General features: G+C 47.1%; 1 protein-coding gene across 6 annotated transcripts in view; it reads right to left on the reverse strand.

Moving 5' to 3' along the window:
- Positions 1-22,311, reverse strand: part of CRACDL (CRACD like) — a 142,380-nt gene that overhangs the window by 86,244 nt on the left and 33,825 nt on the right. Inside the window, exon 2 of one of the 6 annotated variants that reach the window (XM_017003972.2) lies at positions 17,288-17,392. The exons of 3 other annotated variants lie outside the window; for them this stretch is intronic. In XM_017003972.2, coding sequence (XP_016859461.1) covers positions 17,288-17,319 — 32 coding nt within the window. In that variant the 5' untranslated portion in view covers positions 17,320-17,392. Of the gene's footprint in view, positions 1-17,287; positions 17,556-22,311 lie in introns of those variants that run through there. 2 more of the 6 variants (XM_011511093.2, XM_017003971.2) reach the window with 2 other exon arrangements.

Consider the following 22,311-nt stretch of genomic DNA (forward strand, 5'->3'; position numbering starts at 1 on the left):
ATGCAGAGTTATTAATACAGTGCAACGCGTACACTGTGTAATCCTCCTATTGGTACAGGTTATGTTGGACGCAGCACTGGGCATGGTACTGTAGTCACTAAGGGAGCATTTGCCTGCGTTCCTTAGTTGACTGATGCACGGAAGAGTGACCAGAGGAGGACGGGCTGTGCTGATCAGACAAGATCCTGTGAACGAACAAGGACATTGGAGAATTCTCCAACTTTACTGTTCCAGGAAGCCAAGGCATGATGATGATGGCAGCTTACCCTGTGCTAGGCGCTGTTCTAAGTAGCTGATATATGCTTACTCCTTAAGCAGTAGCTGAATAGAATATTATGAGCACCAAGCCAGGCAACTCGGAGTTGTGACTAAAAGGTAGCATCATCAGGTGGCAGTGAGTGACATCGCTGCATCAGTATGGGCACGGCGGGCAGGTGGGCCCCCCCTTCTCTGGGCATCCTGAGTCCTACAGACGATAGGATGGAGTGTGTTTCTGAGCGGGTGTTTGCAGGGTGTCTGCCCCTGGGTTAGTAAGAGGATTTCCAGTTCTCTGGCCGCGAGGTCAGGTGGCCACAAAGCCAGGAGAGGAGCTGACAAGGTCTCCTCCCACACCTGCATCTAGTTGCTCCAAGGGCAAGGCACTGGAGCCAAACTCAACCCAGACTTGCCCCAATGGGTCCCGAGGGAAGGCAGGTGTCGGGAGAGCCCCCAGCCGGGGGGCTTTCTGGCCACTGTGACAGATGGTCATTTGGACAAGTGTGACACATCCACCTCCCCGCAAGGGGGAAGCCTTGCCTCCCCTACTCACTTGGCCCCTCGGCTGCTGTGGCTGAAGGAGAACTTGCAGAATGCCCTTTTTAATAGCTTGAGGGGCTGTGAGCTAAAACCCCCTGGAGAGGCCTCACCCCTTCCACTCTCAGGATGGCTATCAGCGCCACTGCAGGGCTCCTAGTGGCTTCAGAGCCGACACGTCAGATGGGCCGCACTCGGCACCTGCTTGAAACCAGATGGACACTTCTGTGTCTGGGGAGGCTGTGGCTTTGGTTTCTACCTGGAGGCAGCCCTGTAGGACCAAGTCTGTGATGGTGAGCATGGTCACAGGCTGATGTGCTCACCTGCCAGGGCATGTTCAGAAGCCTCACGGAGGGAACGCTGGTACCCCTGCCCCTCAAGTGCAGCCTGGGGCCCAGCGGCCTCAGCCCCACCTGGGAGCAGGTCGGAGATGCAGACACTCAGGCTCCCCGCAGACTGGGGAATCTGAATCTGCACTTCACCAAGGTCCCCAGGTGGTTCCTCTGCACATTCAAGCTTGAGAAGCACTGCCTTACAGCTCTTGTTCTCAACCCCAGCTGCACATCAGAATTGCCTGGGAGCTCTGACAAATCCTGACACTCAGGTTATGCCTCAGCCCAGCTGCTGGCAGTGGGGCAAGGGTGTGTAATTTTTGAAGCCCCACCCTGGTGATTTTGGAATGCAGGCAGAGTAGAGAACCACGGTTCTAGAGGTGTATCAACACCTTTGAGTGTGACCCTCGTGTCATCAGGGGAGCCTTCAGCTGGGGCGCCATGTATATGCAAATGGGGCTCACCCACAAGGACAAGGAGCTGCCACAAGCTTGGTTTCTGCACCATCCAGGCGATGGAAGCCACTCATGGCCAACGAGTGTTTTCCGGGTCTGTGACCTGGTGTGGAAGCTGGGCACACAGCATCATGGCGGGGAGAGGAGGGAGTCTCTGAAGTTGATCCAGTCCACTTCTGAGAGGTGCCTCTTCCAACACAGGCTTAAGGCAGCCCAGGAAGACCCAGCCTCTAATTGTTTAGGCTGCACTCAGAAGGCCTGGACAACTGGAGTTCCCTGGGAAGGGGCATGATGCTTTCTAATCCTGGGGGAGGACCTGGGAACAGTAGAGTTGATGGGACTAAAACACAACATGGTTGCTGTGTGGGGGCACCTGGTTCCACGTCCCATACGACAGTCTCCAGAACAAAAGGTTTTCCTTTGAGTCACTGAAGGCCAAATAAAGGAGAATGGAGGGACTGCAGCCTCCTAGAAATGGGAACTCAGCCGGGCGACTAAAGGCCACTTAGGCTGCATTTCACTTGAAACCAGTGGTGAGGCAGCAGCTCTACTCAGGGCACTACTGAACAGAGGGGACCACTCCTCCAGCAGGGCTAGAAATTGTGATCACCCAGGAATTCAGTTAGCCAGACTCTTAATACATAGTATGGCCCAAGACAGAAACTGCAGACATGGCCCAGGCCTAAGCCAGTCAATGTAGTTCTATCCCCTGGCAAGAGTGGCTGTTTCAGGGACAGGTATGTGACTGGTTTCAGGCCCAGGAGAGTGAAGCTCATGGATTTTCAGAATTGTTGCAAGAGAATATTTCTTTTCTGCTGGGCCTGGGAAAATGAGAGTCTATGAAGGAAGGAAGCACCGCACAATGAAGAGAGGAAAAGCAAATGCCTCTGGGGACTCTGTTGGGAGTCCTGGATCCAGCTATTCCTGAAGCTAGCTAGCTGTGATTTTCCAGATGAGCCATAAAACCTGTCTCTCTGGTTTTTTTAAAGCCAAACAAGCCTCATCTGCAACAGAAAGAGTCCCAACTCATTCCCTGAGCAAACAGGGGCTGGCTGAGTGATGTCAAACCATTTGAACCCCCCGATTCCACACGGAATGCTTTGTTTGGTTCCATTTTTAGATCTGTAGAACAAAGGGGCTTGGGATACTTTCAGGACTTTCAGTGACAGCCAGGACAGGCTGAGGCAATCTCTAAGGCAGGTATCAGTAGAAGCAGCATCTGTTTGTTGTGGATTCACAGGGTAGAGGGATGACCCCTTTGTATCAGGGTGACTTTTCAACAGCTCAGTAACCAGCAGAATAAGCAAACCTCAAGCTTTGGCCCATCCCCTGCACGTGCCCAGTGTGATCTGATGGCCACACTTCTCCTGCCAGGTGGGAAAGAACCTAGCAAAGGATGAAGCGTCTTAGAGTGAGACAGACATAGGCAGACCCAGGTAGTGGCAGCAAGGTCCTTGGATAGAAAGAGCTGCAAGTGGTGTTTGGGAAAGGAAGCCTTTGGATGTCTCATACAGTATTCTGTGCCCATTGGGAGCAGGGGCGGGGTGCCCTAGGGCAGGGCAGGTCACCAAAAACAAAAGAGACCACAAGACAGAAGGCTCCATGCCAACCCAGGGTGACTGGCACAGAGCTGGGAGGATGGAGGTCTTGTTGGCATGGAGGAACAGTGGTGTTTCTCCCATCCACATGCCTAGGCACCACAATCCACCTCCCAGAACTTGGGTGCTGGAGGCTGGAAGAAACACCAGGCTGGGTGGGATTAAGATGGCAGGCAGTCAGCCCTAGGGGCTCAAAGCATAAACAAGGCTGAAAGTTCTCAGGCGCCTGCACTGCTGGCCTGAGACCTGCACCTGGAAAGCTCAGCCTGGAGTCATGTACGTATCAGGTGCTCGGCAAGGGGCAGCAGCATATTGCTCCCACTGGTTCCCTGGCCCGTTGGGAAGAGCGTGTTTGTATAAAGCTAACACAGCCAGTGCAACGAACCAGAGATGACAAATTTCTACCATCCAGAGAATAAACCCGAGCCCGGGTAGAACAGAAGTAACTCCAAGTTCTGTCTTTACTGGAGCCCTGGTGTTGCTTAACAGCCTGGGCCTAGTAAGTTTCTCACCTATCAAAAGGGGAAAACAAGGCCTGTCATCCAGGCTGTTGTTTAGGACCGAATGAGATGATGTAATGTACAAAGGAGGGATGAAGCTAATGGCAGGGATTATTGCTCACTGTTATTTTTGGCATCTCTCAAAATGCAGCACATGGGCACCCACCCACACCACCTCCAGACAGACCTGCTCTGGCTGTCCCGTCCTAACTCACTGGGATTCAGAAATAGTGCCGCCCACAGGAGCTGATCGGTGGCTGGGAAGCGGCGTGTGTTGGGGGGATGGGGCAGGAGCGGGGCAGCAGACCCACAGGTGCCCCACCCACCTGGAGATACGGGCCAGTAGAGGGCATGAGGGGGGCGGCACGGCAGAGCCTGGTGCTAAGGAGGCCTGGAAGCACAGGCAAACACCTGCCCCTGCCTGCCACAGACCAGCAGCACTGAGTCCAAGAGGGAGCCTGGATCAGCAGCAATCTCCTACACTGGCCAAATAACTCAGGGGCCTGCACAGCTCACACAGCCAGGAGAAAGGGCTCAACACAGAAGGACAGGGAGGGCAATAGCCAGATATTGCCAAGTACCTATCACACTCTCTGCACAGGTCTTCAGAGAAGAAACATGCAGGGCTGGAAGCAGGCAAAATAGAGTAAGGTGGTGGGGCTGGACCTGAACCCCACCCTCTTCCACAGTGACAGAGCCAGGCAGCAGGACATCCCTGCCCATCACTGCCACCTGACCCAACTCCAGTGGACAGAGGATTGCATGGATGATCCTATATACACAAAATTGTTAGGTCCCCTGCCTAAAATTCACGTGTTGAAACCTAATCCCCAGTGCAATGGTATTAGGAGGTGGGACCTTTGGCAGGTGATTAGGTAATGAGGGTGGAGCCCTCACAAATGGGATCTGTGCCCTATAAAAGGGACCCCAGAGTGTTCCCTCACTCCTGCTATGTGAGAACACAGAGAGAAGACAGCTGTCCATGAACCAGGAAGGGGACTCTTGCCAGACACCAACCTGCCAACGCCTTCATCTTGAACTTTTTGGCTCCCAGAACTGTGAGAAAGGCACTGCTGTTGTTTGTGAGCCGCCCAGTTCATGGTATTCTGTTAGAGCAGCCTGACAGGACTGAGACCTATCCCCACCTGCAGGCACCTGAAAAACAGGAGGATGGACTTGGGCCTTCCAGAGAGTGCAGTCAGATCCTGTGCCTGCTTCTTCAAACCTTGGAACAAGTGACCACTGAGTCAGCTTCAGCTCAAAAGGAAGGTAGCAAGAGGGTGCAGGGCATAGAAAGGTGTAGGAGTGTGGAAGGGTGTGTATCTATGGCAATTAGGCATCTGTACCATGGGACCATCAGAAGAAGTCGAAGCTCAAATACAGGGGCTGTGGTTCATAGAGATGATCCAGTCTAGACAGTGACTGAAATCTGCTGCTGGGGCCAATTCCTCAGCAACTATGAAGGGTGTGTGAGACGTAAGGCTTGGATAATATGGGATCGGAACTCCTGACTTCATATCAGTACCCTGTACTAGGCTGATTTAAAGGTCTCTCTTTTAACTTATGCCGAGGAGCTGCTAAACCAAGGGGGAGGATGTTGGTGGGAAAAGCTACTGCATTTTTTTTCCAGTTTTGTTATGGTGGTAAAATACATAGCAACTGCATTTTTAAAGTTTCTCAGCAGAAATAAATAACAGCCAAAAGCCATAATGATGCTGTTGGATGCTAATGTTTACCATTCAGAATGAAATAACTGTCATGAAAATATGACTGACAGGGTGTGGTATGAACTTAAAAAAATAAGCTCAATAAAACTGCACAAGGGGATAATAGAAAATGCAGATGAAAATATGGCCTTCAGAGGCTCAGAATCTCAGAGGTGGTAAAAACTGGAGCTCTCACTTGGCAACCAACCAACCATTTTTCAAGCAATGGAACTGAGATTGACAGGTTCTGCAACTTGCCTCAGGACACAAAGTGAATGAGTGACAAAACTGATCTCTCTTGGTTAATCAAATATGATGATATCAAACATTCAATGTGATTCAAAACACTTTAAATAATAAAACCAAAAGCAAGTGACATCAGCAAAAATGACAGAATAAGGATCTCCAAAAACTCTCTCCCCCATGAAAATAATGAGAAAACTGGTTAAAAAAAAAAAAGGTCAGAATGAACTTTGTCAGAACTCTGGAAATTAATGCAATAATTCAGGGAACATTTATTTGAGATAAACAGCCAAATCTCGGTAAAATTAGTGAGCTCTACAGCATTTTAGCTTGCCATATTTCACTACCCTGCTCTCTAGTTCCATGGCAGCCTTGACAACCAACAGCTTCCTAATAACTGTATAAACCAGCAGCCTGGCAGCTGCTGGAAGGGGACAACTGGGTTGAAGATTCTTCAAAGCTTCATTCTCAGAGATTTGTCATTAATTGACCTGGCTGGTGGTTCCCTGAAAAACCTCACTTGCAAGAAGGAAAACCCACTATGACCTGAGTCAGAAGTCACCCAGTGTGAAAAGCCTTTTCTCTCCCACTGAGGTGCTTGCTGAAGACAATTACCGGCAAATATTTAACTTCACAGCTGCCTGAGGAAGTGAATAACAGTTGGGGCAAACAACAGATTGTCTAAAAAGCTTGCAAGGAAGCTCAGCATATCCCTGGGTATCTAGAATATCACCTGCGCATATACTCAGGGAAGGCCTGAGAAGGCCCTAACTAAGCTCTCAAGGCTGATCTTGAGATTCTGCACAAATAGGAAGAGAGGGTTTAGACAGAGTCATCAACTGCCTGGTTGAGTGTTGAAAGGAGTGTCCCAACATGCACACAGAGATTTCAGCAAATATTGGGAGGTTTACTAGTTCTAAATGTTTAAGAAAATCTCAGTCTGATCATTAGCTGATTGCTAAGCCAACTAGGCAGAGACTTCAGTGGCCACACATGACAAAAATATAAACCTTACAGAATTAGTTCAGAAAAGTCAATAAACAAAGAACAACAACAACAAACCCTAGGGAGAGAGAAAGAATCTAATATTCTAAGTTGCCACATTATATTTTTAAAATTTTCAGCAAAAAATTACAAGATATAAGAAGAAACAAGAAAATATGGTCCACATATAGGGAGCCCAGTCAGATCTGCTAGACAAAGAACTTAAATAAATTCTTTTAAATATTTTCAAAGAATCAAGAAAACATATATAAAGGAGAGTATGAGAATGATGCCTCATCAAATAGACAATACACATAAGGAAAAATTTTTAAAGAGAACCAATAGAAGGTCTGGAGTTGCAAAGTACAATTACTGAAATTTAAAAATCACTAGAGGGGCTCAATAGCATATCTAAACTAAAAGAAGAAAGATTCAGTGAACTTGAAGACAGGTCAATTGAGATTAGCCAATTTAAGGCATCGAAAAAAATAACAATGAAGAAAAATGGCTTGGCACAGTGGCTCATGCCTATAATCCCAGCAGTTTGGGAAGCTGAGGCAGGAGAATTGCTGGTCAGGAGTTCAAGACCAGCTTGGGCAACATAGCAAGGTCCTATCTCTATTTAAAAAAAAATTAAAAATTGGCCAAACATGTTGTGTGCACCTGTAGTCCCAACTACTCAGGAGGCTGAGGCAGAGGATTTGCTTGGGCCCTGGAGGTCAAGGCTGCAATGAGCCATGATCAAGCCACTGCACTCCAGCCGGGGTGACAAAGAAAAAAAGAAAAAGAAAAATGAACAGAGCCTCAAAGACCTTGGGGTAGGATACCACTGAGCATACAACGTGTACACTGAGAGCCACAGAAACGGAGGAAAGAGAAAGGTGCAGAAAGAATATTCAAAGAACTAGTAACTGAACACTTCCAAAATTTGAGGAAAACACGACCCATTCAAGAAGCTTGATGACCTTCAAGGAGGATAAACTCAAAGAGATCGACACCTAGACATATCATAATCAAACAGTCAAGCCCAAAGACAAAGAGAGAATCTGGAAAGCTGCAAGAGAGAAGTGACTTATCACATATAAGATAAAATTAGTAACTGATTTATCATGAAAAGTTATGGATGCCAGAAGGCACTGAGATGAACTATCCAGGCTGAAGGAGAAATACTGTGGACCAAGAACACTATATCCAGCAAAACTACCCTTCAAAAATAAAAGGAATGGGGAGAAATTGCTTAACGAGTATAGAGTTTTCTTTTGGGGTGAAGAAAATGTTTTGGAACTAGATACATGTGGTGGTTGTACAACACTGTAAATGCACTGTCACTAGATCATTCAGTTTAAGATGATTAATTTTATGTTACATGAATTTCACCTCAATTTTTAAAAGAAGGGAAAATTAAGACATTCCAAGATAAACAAAAACCATAGAGAAATTAGCACTAGCAAACCTGTCTTACATGAAATGAGCATTGAACAGTAATCCAAATCCAAATGAAAGAATAAAGAGTACTAGTTAAGGCAATTACATGGGTAAAAATAAAACATAGTATAAATATACTTTTGTTTGTAATTTTTTCCTTCTAATTTAAAAGACGACTGTGGAAAGTAATAGCTATAAATCTGTGTTAATGAGCATATAAAGACATAATGTGTATAACAACAGCACAGAAAAGGGAGGAGGGAATAGACATATGTAAGAGCAAAGTTTTTGTATATTATTGAAATTAAGTTGGTATTAATCCAGACTAGATTGTTATTAATTAAGATGCAATCTGAAACCCCCAGGGCAATTACTAAGAAAATAACTAAAAAAATGGTAGAAGAAATGGCAAGGGAATTAAAATGGTACACTAGAAAATATCTGTTGAACATCAAAGGAGCAATGGAGGAATAGAGACACAAAAAAGACATGAAATGTACAGAAACCAAAGGGCAAAATGGCAGATGTAAATCCCACCTTATTAAAAATTATGTTAAGTAAAAATCACTCAAATACTCCAATTAAAAGGCAGAGGTTAATAGAATAAAATTTTAAAAAGATCTACATCTATGCTGTATACAACAGACACATTTAAATTCAAAGACACAAATAGGTTGAAAGTAAAAGAATGGAAAAAAATATATACTATGAAAACAGTAACCAAGCCGGGCGCAGTGGCTCACGCCTGTAATCCCAGCACTTTGGGTGGCCAAGGCAGGTGGATCATGAGGTCAGGAGATTGAGACCATCCTGGCCAATATGGTGAAACCTCATCTCTACTAAAATACAAAAAATTAGCCAGGCATGGTGGTATGCACCTATAGTCCCAGCTACTCGGGAGGCTGAGGCAAGGGAATCGCTTGAATCTGGGAGACAGAGGTTGCAGAGAGCCGAGATCATGCCACTGCACTCTAGCCTGGCAACACAGCAAGACTCTGTCAAAAAAAAAAGGGGGGGGAAGAAAAGAAAAGAAGGAAGGAAGGAAGGGGAAGGAAAGAAGGAAGGAAGGAAGAAAAGAAGGAAGGAAGGGGAAGGAAGGAAAGAAAGAAAGAAAAAGAAAGAGAGAAAGAGAAAAAGAAAGAAAGAAACAGAAAAAGAGAGAGAAAGAAAGAAAGAAAGAAAGAAAGAAAGAAAGAAAGAAAGAAAGAAAGAAAGAAAGGAAACAGTAACCAAAACAGAGCTGGAGTGGCTATACTAATAACAGAAAAAATATTGTCTGTTTAAGATAAAAATTACTACAGACAAAGTGGGAAATTGTATAATGACAAAAGTACCAATGAATCAAGATTAAACAACCACACACATATGTGCATCTAATATCAGAGGCCAAAAATACATGAAGCAAAGCTGACAAAACTGAAGGAAGACAGCAGTAATAGTTGGAATCTTCAATACCCTACTTCAATAATTCATAGAAAAATTAAACATAAGATCAATAAGGAAATAGGAGACTTGAAAAGCATGCTACGCCAACTAGACCTAGCAGACATCTATAGAATACTCATCCAGTAATAGCAGAATTCACATTCTTCTCAAAGGCACATGGAACATTATCCAGGATAGACCATCTCTCAGGTCATAAAATAAGTCTCAACAAATTTTTGAAAATTTAAATCATGCAAGGTATGTTCTCCAACCACAACAGAATTGTTAGAAATCACTAACAAAAGAAATTTGAGAAATTCACAAATAGATTGAAATTAAACAACACACTCCTAAATAACCAATGGATCAAAGAAGAAATCATAAGAGAAGTAGAAAATACTTTGATATTAATAAAAACAAAACCACCACATACCAATATTTATGGTATGCAGTTAAAACAATGCTTGCAAGGATATTTATAGCTGTAAGTGACAATGTTAAAAAAGAAGAAAAGTCTCAAATCAATTACCTAAACTTCCACTTTGAGGAATCAGAAAAAGAGCAAGAGAAACTGAAAGCAAACAGGAGAAAAACAATAATAAAGATTAGAGAAGAAATTAATAAAATTGAGAGTAGAAAAACAAAGAAAACTAACAAAACCAAAAGTTAGTTCTTTGAAAAGACCAATGAAATCAACAAACCTTTAGTTAGACTGACCAAGAAGAAAGGAGAGAAGGCTCAAATTACGGAAATTAAGAATGAAAGAGGGGACATCACTACCAACATTACAGAAATAAAGATGATAAGAAAATAATACAAACAATGGCATGCCAACAAGCTAGATAACCTAAATGGTCAAATTTCTAGAAAGACACAAACTACCAAAACTGACTAAAGAAGGAATAAAAATTATGAATGGACCAAAACAACCGAAGAGATTGAATTAAGACTTTTAAAACTTCCCGCAAAGAAAAGCCAAGGCTCAGGTGGCTTCTACCAGATAAATTCTACTAAATGTTTAAAGAATAGTACAAATTATGTATCCCTTATCCAAAATGCTTGGGATCAGAAGTGTTTCAGAGTTAGGGGTTTTCCAGATTTTTGAATATTTTACATTATATATACCAGTTAAGCATTCCAAATCCAAAAATCCTAAATCTGAAATGCTGCAATGAGCATTTCATTTGAGCCACATGTCGATGCCCAAAGCATTTGAAACTTTGGGGGCTGGGCGTGGTGGCTCACACATGTAATCCCAGCACATTGGGAGGCCGAGGTGGGTGGACCACCTGAGGTCAGTAGTTCGAGACCAGCCTCGTCAACACGGTGAAACCCCGTCTCTACCAAAAATACAAAAACTAGCTGGGCATGGTGGTGGGCACCTGTAATCCCAGCTACTTGGGAGGCTGAGGCAAGAGAATTGCTTGAACCCAGGAGATGGAGGTTGCAGCGAGCCAAGATTGTGTCATTCCAGCCTGGGTGACAAGAGCAAGACTCCATCTCAAAAATAAATAAATAAATAAATAAATAAAAGATTCCAAACTTTGGGCTGGACGCAGTGGCTCACATCTGTAATCCCAGCACTTTGGAAGGCCAAGGTGGGCGGATCACTTGAGGTCAGTAGTTCAATACCAGCCTGGCCAACATGATGAAACCGTCTCTACTAAAAATAAAAAAATTAGCCAGGCATGGTGGTGGTCACCTGTAATTCCAGCTACTCAGGAGGCTGAGGCAGGAGAATCACTTGAATGTCGGAGGCAGAGGCTGCAGTGAGCCAAGATCACGCTACTGCACTCCAGCTTGGGTGACAGAGGGAGACTCCGTCTCAAAAAAAAAAAAAAAAAAAAAAAAAAAAATCCAAACTTTGGAGCTTTTTGGGTTTCAGAATTTTGGATTTGGGATGGTCAACCTGTAATGGGTACATGGTTTCTTTTTCGGGTAATGAAAGTGTTCTGGAATTAGATAGTATTGATGGTTCACAACCTTGTTTGGGGATATGCTAATTATATGTCAATTATTTTAAAAGTAGAGAGGAGGAAGTGAAACAATAGCAATCTAAGACAGTTATAACAATGTAAATCCTGGATATTTTTTTTCTTTCTTATTTGGTCAAGTTGAACATAATTTGGAAGGCTGTATACAAATCATAAGCCCTTTACATTTTTTGTCCTAAAAGTATGTGACTTTCTATTTTATTTATTTCAAACCTTTTCCACATTGTGAAAGCTTTCAATAAAGTTGGAAGGCATGAGTCAGACTAGGAGGAAGTATATATAACATATACAATAAAGGGTGTCTGCGTGACTGTATCCATCCTTGATTTATAAAGAGGTCCTATAAAGCAGTATGAAAAATGGTAAAAATTCAATTGAAAAGTAGGCAAAGGACATGTAAAAACAATTCACATGATAGCAAATTCAAAATGGGCAATCCTACTGAAAACTAAATGTAACAATCAGACTCCTGGAAATTTAAGAAGGTAGACACTACTCAATTGGCAGAGTATGAGAAATAGGCATGCCAACATACTGCTTGTAGGAGTAAAAAAATCATATACCTTTCTTGGACAGCCATTTGGCAATTTCTATCAAAATCTTAAAAGTACTCATCCTTTGACCAGGCAATTCCACCTCTGGGAATCTATTCTACAGAAATATTCACAGAGGCAAATGTAGATAAATGAATAAATATATTCCCAGCAGTCAGGTTTGTATTAAAAAATTATACATATCATAAATATTCCTTGGTAAGAGAATGATTAGCTACTAAAGGGTAGCTAAAAGAAATGAGGTAGATCTATTTATGGACATAGAAGTATCTATAAAATATATTGTAAATTAAAAAAAAAAGATCTGAGCAGGCCAGGCGTAGTGGCTCACACCTGTAATCCCAGCACTTTAGGAGACTGAGGTGGGCGGATCACTTGAGGTAAAGAGTTCGAGTCCAGACAGTCAACATAGTGAAACCCCATCTCTACTAAAAATACAAAAATTAGCCGGGTGTGGCGGCAGGCACCTGTAGTCCTAGCTACTCCGGAGGCTGAGGCAGGAGAATCGCTTTAACCCAGAAGGCAGAGGTTGCAGTGAGCCAAGATCACACCACTGCACTCCAGCCTGGGCGAAAGAGTGAGGCTCAGTCTCAAAAAAAAAAGAAATAAAATAAAATTTTTTTAAAAATGATCTGAGGAAAACATGCATATATACAGTATGATTTTATTTTTGGAAAAAAACCCTAAACCCTAATATGCATATTATATATATGTAAATGTAGCCAGTGATAGACCCAGCTGGACTCCTTACGGTGAAAGCAGAAACCCACTGCACCCTTCCTCACACTCTTACTAAACTCACTCTGTGGCCCTGCTCTGCCTCTCCGAGGGACCTCAGCCACAGATTTTTTTGGTTTCTCTGATACCTGGGCCTGGCCTCTCCACCGCCAGCTCACAAATCCCTGGCCGGCTCCCGTGTGGGGAGCCTATACCCTGACATCACCCCTTGCAGGAGCATCTTCGGCCCAGAAAGGCCCTTCCCAGGTGCCCTCAGCCTCCAGGCACAGCAGCAGGGAGCGGGGCACAGGGAGGGAAATGGGCTCCTTGCACCATTCTCCAAGGTAATCCTCTCCACCTGAAAGTGCACCTCTGTAGCAGGCTGGAGGTCACTAGATCCAGTCTGCCTTCACCACATCATGGGACAAGGAGCTGTCTGATGCTACCAAACTGTCCTCAGTCAAGAGAAGGAACCCTATTTTTTTTTTTAGACGAGTCTCGCTCTGTTGCCCAGGCTGGAGTGCAGTGATGCGATCTCAGTTCACTACAAGCTCCGTCTCCTGGGTTCACGCCATTCTCCTGCCTCAGCCTCCCAAGTAGCTGGGATTACAGGTGTCCATCACCACACCTGGCTAATTTTTTGTATTTTTTAGTAGAGACGGGGTTTCAACATGTTAGCCAGGATGGTCTCGATCTCCTGACCTCGTGATCTGCCCTCCTCGGCCTCCCAAAGTGCTGGAATTACAGGCATTAGCCACTGCACCCCGCCTGAAGGAGCCCTATTTTCATATCCTGCTGTGTAAACATATCAAAAAGATCTGGAAGGATACACAATGGCTTTATCTCTGGGGAAGGGATTATATCTTTTTACTTCTATTGCTTCTGTAGTGTATTTTCCCCCAATTACATCATGTAATTAAGCGATAGTTAAAAAGAAGGAAGTCTCCCACGTCTATTTCTGTCCCCCTCATTTTGAACAGGTTGTCTTTTACTGAGGAAATCCATGCCGTCAGGGGTAGCCCAGTCAGGGCATAAGAATCAGCAAATACTTATGATCGCATCCACACGAACGCCCGTGCACCACACAGTGGAGACCCTGGGTGCCACCCCCAGAGGCGCTGACTGAATTCACTGGGCATGGGCGTGGGCATCAGGCTGTGTTCAAGCTCCCCAGGAGATTCCGAGGGGCAGCCAGGGTCAAGAAGCAATGGGCTTGCTCCTCTCAACAGGGCCCAGAGCACACTCAGCTACTCCGTGCCTGCACTCACCTCCCCTACACACCACTTCCTCTTCCTCCGCCAGTGGCGCTGGCTATATAGTTCGAATCAGCAATGCTTCTGCTTAAGCTCTGATTCAAGACACTTCTTTCCAAGCGGAAAGCGATATTTTAGGTATAGGGGGAGGGAAAGCAGAGTGGGAAGAGGGTGAGAACACCCCCTCCCATCACATCTCCATAAATGATTTGGCTGCGAAGTCACCCTGAAGGAGAGAGATGGCTCAGGAGAGGCCACATGAGGAAGAGCGTCAATGTGAATTAGCACACAGAAGCAACAACACAACCACACCACATAAAAGCAGCATGAACCTGAGAGGCTGGGCAGAGTGGCCATATAAAATAGCCGGAGATGTGATTTCCCAATGTACGATGGAAAATCCCCGGAGTTACCTAAAGTCACGCACAGAGGGGTGCGGGGCGGGCCCTCCTGGCCCAGCACTGGTGAGTGGGTGGCAATCTGTGTAGTGAGAGAAGTGAGGCCAATATATTTATATATACGCAATGAGAAAACAGGCAAGAAACGGTGTGGGGAAAGAAGCTCTGAGAACCTTCTCCAACAGCCTCAACTCCTCAGCCTCTGTCCTCTCCCTGGATGGCATCTGGAGATCATGTCCCGTGGTTTAACACACTTATTTTCAAGTATGTCAACAGTTATGATCTCCCTAAGCAGAATGTAAGCAAATCCGAAGACAGTGACCTGCACCTAGATGTCACTGATTACATTCCTGTTGGTGGCTGTGCATGGTGGCTCATGTCTGTAATCTCAGCACTTTGGGAGGCAGAGGTGGGAGGATTACCTGAGCTCAGGAGTTCAGGACCAGCCTTGGCAACATAGCAAGAGCTCAACTTTACAAACACAAAAAATTAAAAATTTAGCCAGGTGTGGTGACATGCACCTGTGGTCTAGCTACTCAGGAGGCTGAGGTTGGAGGATCACTTGAGCCTGGGAGATTGAGGCTTCAGCGGTCCATGATCATACCACTACGCTCCAGCCTGGGCAACAGAGGAGACCCTGTCTTAAAAAAAAACAAAAATATTCCTGTTGGTGGCTGGCTCTGGGATCTCATAGATGCCTCTGTCCATTCATCAGAAAATTTGTCCTCAGCAGCTTCTAGCTACAAGCACCATGCTAGGTGCCTAGGATACAACAGTGACAACAGAGGGAGGGCCTTGATGGCAAAGATCTTATAGCCTAGATCTAGAATTATGACACACACAGTTGGGCAGGTGCTGGGATAGAAGGATTGGTGGTTTTGAGGGCAGGAAGGACGGACGCTCAGCTTGGAAGACAGAACTAGGCTGAAGTTGGACAGGTGAACGGAAAACATACCAGACAAATACGGTGCGTGGGAAGGAGGGAAAGAACAGGGAAGACGAGATTCCAGGTCCAGGGAATGGCAGATGTAGAGGCCCGGAGGCAGGGGGGAACATAACCTGCTCAAGGCCCTGGAAGAAATTCAGTATCACTGAAGTTTTGAGAGCTGGATTAGGGTGGGGAAGGGAACTAAGTAGAGGGGGCTAGATGATTCCAGAACATTACACCATGCTAAGGTGTTTGGATTCTATTCTAAAGGTAATTAAAGCACGGCAAGATTTTAGTCAGAGGATCTCATGATCAAATTCAACTGTGAGGAAGATCCATCCCCTTGGTTACAGGGTTGCTATGGTCTGAATGTTCATGTCCCCTCAAAATTCGTGTGTTGAAATCTTAACCCCAAGCTGATGGCTTTAGGTGGTGGAGGCTCTGAGAGGTGATTAGGTCATGGGGCTGGGGCCTTCATGAATAAGATAAAAGAGAACCCAGAGAGCTCGCTTGCCCCTTCCACCATGAGAGGACACAGCAGGAAGGTGCTACCTACGAACCAGAAAGTGGATTCTCACCAGATACTGAATCTGCTGGCGCCTTGATCTAGGACTTCCGGCCTCCAGGACTGTGAGCAAACAATCTCCAGAAGTTTGTTACACCAACTCAAATGGACTAAGACAGGGCAGAACCGGGAGTGGGGGGCTGTGGCAGGAGGGCTGGCTGGTGGCATGGGACAGGAGGAGTAGGCCAATTTGAGGACAGAACACACAGGACACGGTGCCTGAAGCAAGGCCAGGAAGTGAGGAGAAGACACGGCAAGCATGCACCCAGGTTTCACATGCGGGCATGAGAGTGGATGGTGGAGTCCCTCGCTGAGACAAGACACAGCTGTGCTGGGGAGAGTTTTGGACACATGCATGACTTCAGACAAGAAAATATTTCAGAGGAATAAATCAAGAGCTGAACAGGAATAACTCTTCTAAATTCATCAATTTCATATAAACAAACATATTCATATAAATAGTCTCAAAAGGAAATAAATCCTGAGAGTGGCCCAAAAAAAATCCACCCAAACCTGTGCCCTACATTCACCTTAAGGGGCAAGTCTGGGGCAGAGCTGCAAACTCCACAATCTTTTATGCAGCAGAGGAAACCAGACTGTGACCTTCAGGGAGTCCTGACAGCTGCTGTCGGCAGAATGATTGACACTCACAACATGGAAGTGAGCCCTAGGCTGGGGATGTGTTTAAACCTCAGCACAGAACCAACACCCTGCGTCTGGAGGGAGGGCTGGGGTCTGAGCCTGTTGTCAGTGACTACCAAGCTTGTCCAACCTATCTTACTTTGTTGTTGTTGTTCTGTTTTGTTTTCTTTTAGGCTTTTAGCAGCCTGAAGCCATGGTTTTTAGTTTCTGTCTCTAGCGATAAGTGGAAAAGAGGGATGAGGAAGGGGCTTTACTAGACCAGCCAGAAATAGAAACTAAGAACCCATGACTGTACTCTCTCTCCCTTGGACACCCCTGGCAGGCATTGCTCACCCTTCTGGAAATATTTTGCGTTATTTCTAAAGGATAGCACCATAAATCGGCCTTGGGTTTGACATACAAGCCCATGGGTTTTGACACACATGTAGAGTCATGTAGCCACCAGCACAGTCAGGATGCAGAATTGTCCCATCACCACCCCACCCCTAAAATCCTCCCCCATGCTGCTCCTTTATAGCCACACACTCTTCCCCCTGGCAACCACTGATTTGTTCTCCGTCACGATCGTTCTGTCTCTTTGAGAATGTCACAAAAATGGAATCGTACAGTATGTAACATTTTGAGACTGGCTTCTTTCACAAAGTGTGATGCTTTTGAGCTTCATCCAAGCTGTTGCATGTACCGGTGGTTTGTTCCTTTTACCCTTCTGGTATTAAACGTGAAGGCACTGACAGCATCGCTAAATATATATTTGCCTTGCTCCTCTTAGCACCTACCTTTTATCTTGCACGGACGCCAAAGAAATCATCTCAGTCACAGGTGTCCTTATCTCAGCATACCAGATTCATTACATGGAGTATGCAGAAAATCAGTGACTTCTGCTGAAACAGATGAGCAAAACACCAAAACCTTGAAGGTTTCATAACTTTTTCTGGTCACTTTAGATTCCTAAAGTAGGGAGGTTCCATGTAATCCAATGAAAGGAGAAAAATTAACCTTTATTTTCATTATTTACAAACCTAACTTGGGAGATATAGTTAAGACTCAAGTTATAGTTTTTCCTTACCATTCCCACAAAAATAAGAGGGGACTAGAGGTGCATATAATCATGGGTTCAGCTGTTCACAGACTTTTGAGCTAGAAGGCAACTCTGGATAATATCCTTGTTTGACAATGTACCCAGCAAACATTTACTGGATGCCTGCCTGTGCACAGCACAGTACTAAAAACAGAGACAGGGGGTGCAGCTCCTGCCCTCCAGGCGGACAGTCCCAGGAGATCCCAGTTGCGGAGCCCACTGTGAGGTTCAGCGGCTGGCTTATTACTGCCCTCTCTGCACCTTGCTTAGGTTCCATTAAAATCCTGATGCTCCCCAAGCTTTCGCCACCAGTGGGTGGGTCAAGGAGCCTCAATGCAGCTGGGGAAGCTGCTAAGGGATTTACAGGTTGTCACATATAATCCAAAATGGTGAATTCATAATAAAGAATCAAGAGTTAGTTATATTAGGCTCTAGCAACTCTAAAGGTCAAGATACAAAGATGATGAAATCCGCTGAAGGAAAATCCTCTGTTGGTCCCTTGACTGGAATGTGAATGTGAGGCTTAACTCTCAGACAGTATTTCACACATAAAAGAGAAAAAACAGCAATGATCAATACTCAAGTGAAGAGCCATGGGCAAGCCAGCTTGGTATGCAATGTGGGGGCCTCAGAGAGGTCACCTCGCTAAGAGCGTGGGGAGAGAAGACATGCCCACAGTAAAAGCATCAAAGCATGGTGTCATGTGACAAGTGACAAATGTGAGGCCTAGAAGAGAAATGTCGCAGAAGTTCAAAAAACGGAGGGCCAGGGTGACCAGCCAGCTCTTCGCATCACAGTCAGGTAGGGCACACCTCCAGTCACATTACCTGGTCACAGTGAGCATGCTCGGGGCCAGGGCACATGCACCAGAGTCAGATGGGCTTGCGGGAGCTGAGTCTGACCTCCTTGGCCTGCCCTCGTCTGCCCAGACCCACAGCATCTGCCTGTGGCTCCCACATTGTCTAGAGCTCAGCAGGGCCCACGATGCCCTGAGCGTCTTTCTGACAACATGGAGAAAAACTGAGCCGTTGTGCGGATGAGGAAGGGAGGCCACGTGTCCCATCCCTATGTGCCTCAAGGATGAGTGCAACAGAGCCGCCGCCGCTGTGTTTAAGCAGCATAAAGGCTGACCTGTTCTCATGCCTAGAATAGCAAGAGCCTATTTCAAAGAAGATAATATTTTTTTTCTTAAATAGAAGATGAATGCACTTATTTCTGCCAGAAGGTAATCGTCTCCCAAAAGGGGGAAGACAGGCTGAAATCCAGACAGGGGTCACAATTCACAGCCTCTTTTTGTTGTAACTGAAAAATCCCCAGTGATAGTTCATGGCTACCAGGCCTCCCTAAAGTCAAGACGCCAGCAACACACCCTCTGCTTTGTCAAACCAAACAGGGACCTGAATATAAACAAGCTGACATGTCTGGGATGTGCCCCTCCCACCCCACCAAGGCAGGGTGGTGGCAGGAACATGAAATTCACCTGCCACCATGCAAACCAGACCATTCCCCAGACTCCAGTGAAGCAATTCCCTGCAGCCACTCCTCTGCCAGCCTGCGGGCCGCTGGGCCACACAAAGGGGTGACACAAGAGCTCTTAACCTCAGACGTTAAGCCTTTTAAAAATGTACAAGTATGTAATAAGCACCCAAGTGACAAAGATACACAAGAGTCCTCATAGGACCTTGTAGTCAGAGGGAGAGCAGACATAGACAGTTGAAGGAGTCTCCACCAGAAAGAGAAGAATGTTCTTACGGCAGTGCAGGAGCAGGTGCCAAGTGGACAGCCCAGACGCTGTGATCCCATGTGTGTGGAACACCTGGGACTGCAGTTGAGCCTGAAGGACAGTGAGGGAATGGCCAGGGGTGGCCCCACAGGCAAGGGGAGTGCCCTAGCAGGGGGCACTGGTGGCAAAGAGCAAGATGTGCTCAGCAGTCAGAGGGGCCCAGTGAGACTGGAGTGAAAAAAAAAGGCATCTATGGAGGAAATGAGAGAAAAGGGCTGAAAGGCCAGGGTGGCCTGATGCTGGAGGCCCGAGGCTGGCGCTGTTAAGAAGTATGTCTGAGAAGTCTTAGCTCAGTGGGGAAGCAGGTGGACAGAGGCTCAGCAGGAGGGGAGGCAGGGAATGGAGGCTCAGTGGGAGGGGAGGCAGATGGACAGAGGCTCAGCAGGAGGGGAGGCAGGGAATGGAGGCTCAGTGGGAGGGGAGGCAGATGGACAGAGGCTCAGCAGGAGGGGAGGCAGATGGACAGAGGCTCAGTAGGAGGGGAGGCAGATGGACAGAGGCTCAGTAGGAGGGGACACAGATGGACAGAGGCTCAGCAGGAGGGGAGGCAGGAGGACAGAGGCTCAGCAGGAGGGGAGGCAGATGGACAGAGGCTCAGTAGGAGGGGAGGCAGATGGACAGAGGCTCAGCAGGAGGGGAGGCAGATGGACAGAGGCTCAGCAGGAGGGGAGGCAGGGGGACAGAGGCTCAGTGGGAAGGGGAGGCAGATGGACAGAGGCTCAGTAGGAGGGGAGGCAGGGGGACAGAGGCTCAGTGGGAGGGGAGGCAGGGGACAGAGGCTCAGTAGGAGGGAAGGCAGGGGACAGAGGCTCAGTGGGAGGGGAGGTAGGGGACAGAGGCTCAGTAGGAGGGGAGGCAGGGGGACAAAGGCTCAGTAGGAGGGGAGGCAGAGGATGGAGGCTCAGTGGGAGGGGAGGCAGGGGGATGGAGGCTCAGTGGGAGGGGAGGCAGGAGGATGGAGGCTCAGTGGGAGGAGTGCCCTGGTACCCCTGTGGCAGAGGCAGGCCACAAAACCCACCCAGCAACCACACCTCCAATACCCTCCTCCTCTGGCTTTTCAAAGGAGTCTGGGGGACTAGGTGAGAAAAAGAACAGGGGTGGGAGTAGGGCCTGTCCCCTCTGTGTGCACACGTTTGTGCATGTGTGTGGGCGTGTGCATGCGTGCGTGCAGGTGTGTGTGCATGCGTGTGTGTGGAGGGTGGCGGTGCTGTTTAGTAAAGTACTGTTTGTCAGCTCCTTGGTCCCAAGAGATGGAGAAAGGCAGGCCTCTCAAGAACACTCAGCACCCTCCTTCCATCCTGACTTGGCACCCTGAAAATGACGCAAGGGCCCAAGCCCAGCCAGGGAGAAATCTGGCCACTCCACTCCACAGCCTCGTTGGGCAGAGCAGATCAGTCACAGGAAACAGAGACTCCAGTGTGGCTGCGGGAGGGTGCCTCACCAGTGAAGGAGAAGGTCACCCGGCTCCACCTTCTATAATGGTGCCAGGAGGCAGGTGAAGGAAGTCAAGCTCCAGAGGAAGGAGCGCTGAGCCCTTCCCCTCACTTAGGACAGAAAGCGATTCTGCAAGCAATGGGGTTGGCGCACAGGGTCAAGCATGTAAAAGCACGTGGCTCTGCCAGCCCTGAGTTTTTCCCTTGGCTCCACTACTTAGAGTACCGTGACCTTGGACAGGTTCTGCAACCCCTCTCATCTGTGAAATGGGCTCATCCCTCTTTGCAGGGTTGTTGAGAGTTAAATGCCGATGTGTTGGCACAGAGCCTGGCCATAGAAAGGGCTCAATAAATGGTGACCATTTTGACCATGATGGGCCACTGAGCCTCTGCCACAGTGGGAAAGTTGCCAGCATGACACAATAGGACCTCTGGTTTTAGTTCCCACCAAGATCTGCCCAACACAGTGCTTGGGAGAACCCTGATCTTCTATATACAGATCACAGGGCATGGCACAAACCTCAGTCCCAGGGCTCCCCCCATCCAGAGCTCAGAGCCCTGAAGGGCAGAGCAGATGACCTGGGTGGCCAGCCCACGTGGCCTGAGGCCCTAACCAACAAGCAAACTGGGGGCCGCAGGTGGACAGCACAGCCCACAGGGCACCTTATCCTGGATGTGTGACGGGATCTCACACAAAAATCACATCAGACCACAGGGCCTGCAGTTCTCCAGAAATCCTATGTCTTCTCAAAGTCCTGAATCACAAAAGAGACAGTCTAGAGTCTCCAATTTATACTCTGGGATAGGGCCTCTTTGTTAGAGTCTGGAATCTGGGGTCAGAATGAGCAAAATTGAGTGAACCCCCCTGGGTGTGCATCAAGCGACCTGATGCCAGTGAGTATTAACAACAAGTGACCTGGTGCTGGTGAGTATTAACAACAGCTTGCTGGGAACACACTGCGCCCAGCTGGCTGCACATCAGGATCAAACACAGCCCCTCCCCAAGAACTCGCGAGCCGGGCGAAGCAGTAAGACAGGAACACAAGAGAAGCTGCGAACAAAGGTGGGCGCAATGAAGTCTGGACACCAACCGAGAAAGCGGGACGTCATAGATGGAAGAGCCCCCCATGCCAGGACAGTCAGAAAAGGCCATTCTCCACTGTAAAAAGTTCCAAAGGTCTACAAAGGGAACAACCAGGGCTAGTGACTCTGACACTGACCGATCCTAAACTGTGACTTGGAAACAGCTCGCAAATGAGATTTATAGGTCAGGGCAGCCCATACGGCACAAGGGAAGAATGTCATCAATGAAAGGAGGCAGCACAGGTGTAGTCATGGACACAAGTGGGCTCGCCTCTCTCAGTGCTGCCAGCCCTGTGCTGAAGGGGTCTCCGGCAGCCTTCACCCCTGCTCTGCCTGCAGGGCCCCGAGTCAGGCCTCCGGAGAAGGCCCGTGATGACCCTGCCTCTCAGCCAGGAAACATAATCCTTCTGCTGAGACGGGATC

Source organism: Homo sapiens, chromosome 2 (assembly GCF_000001405.40).
Source record: "Homo sapiens chromosome 2, GRCh38.p14 Primary Assembly".
Taxonomy (NCBI): Eukaryota; Metazoa; Chordata; class Mammalia; order Primates; family Hominidae; genus Homo; species Homo sapiens.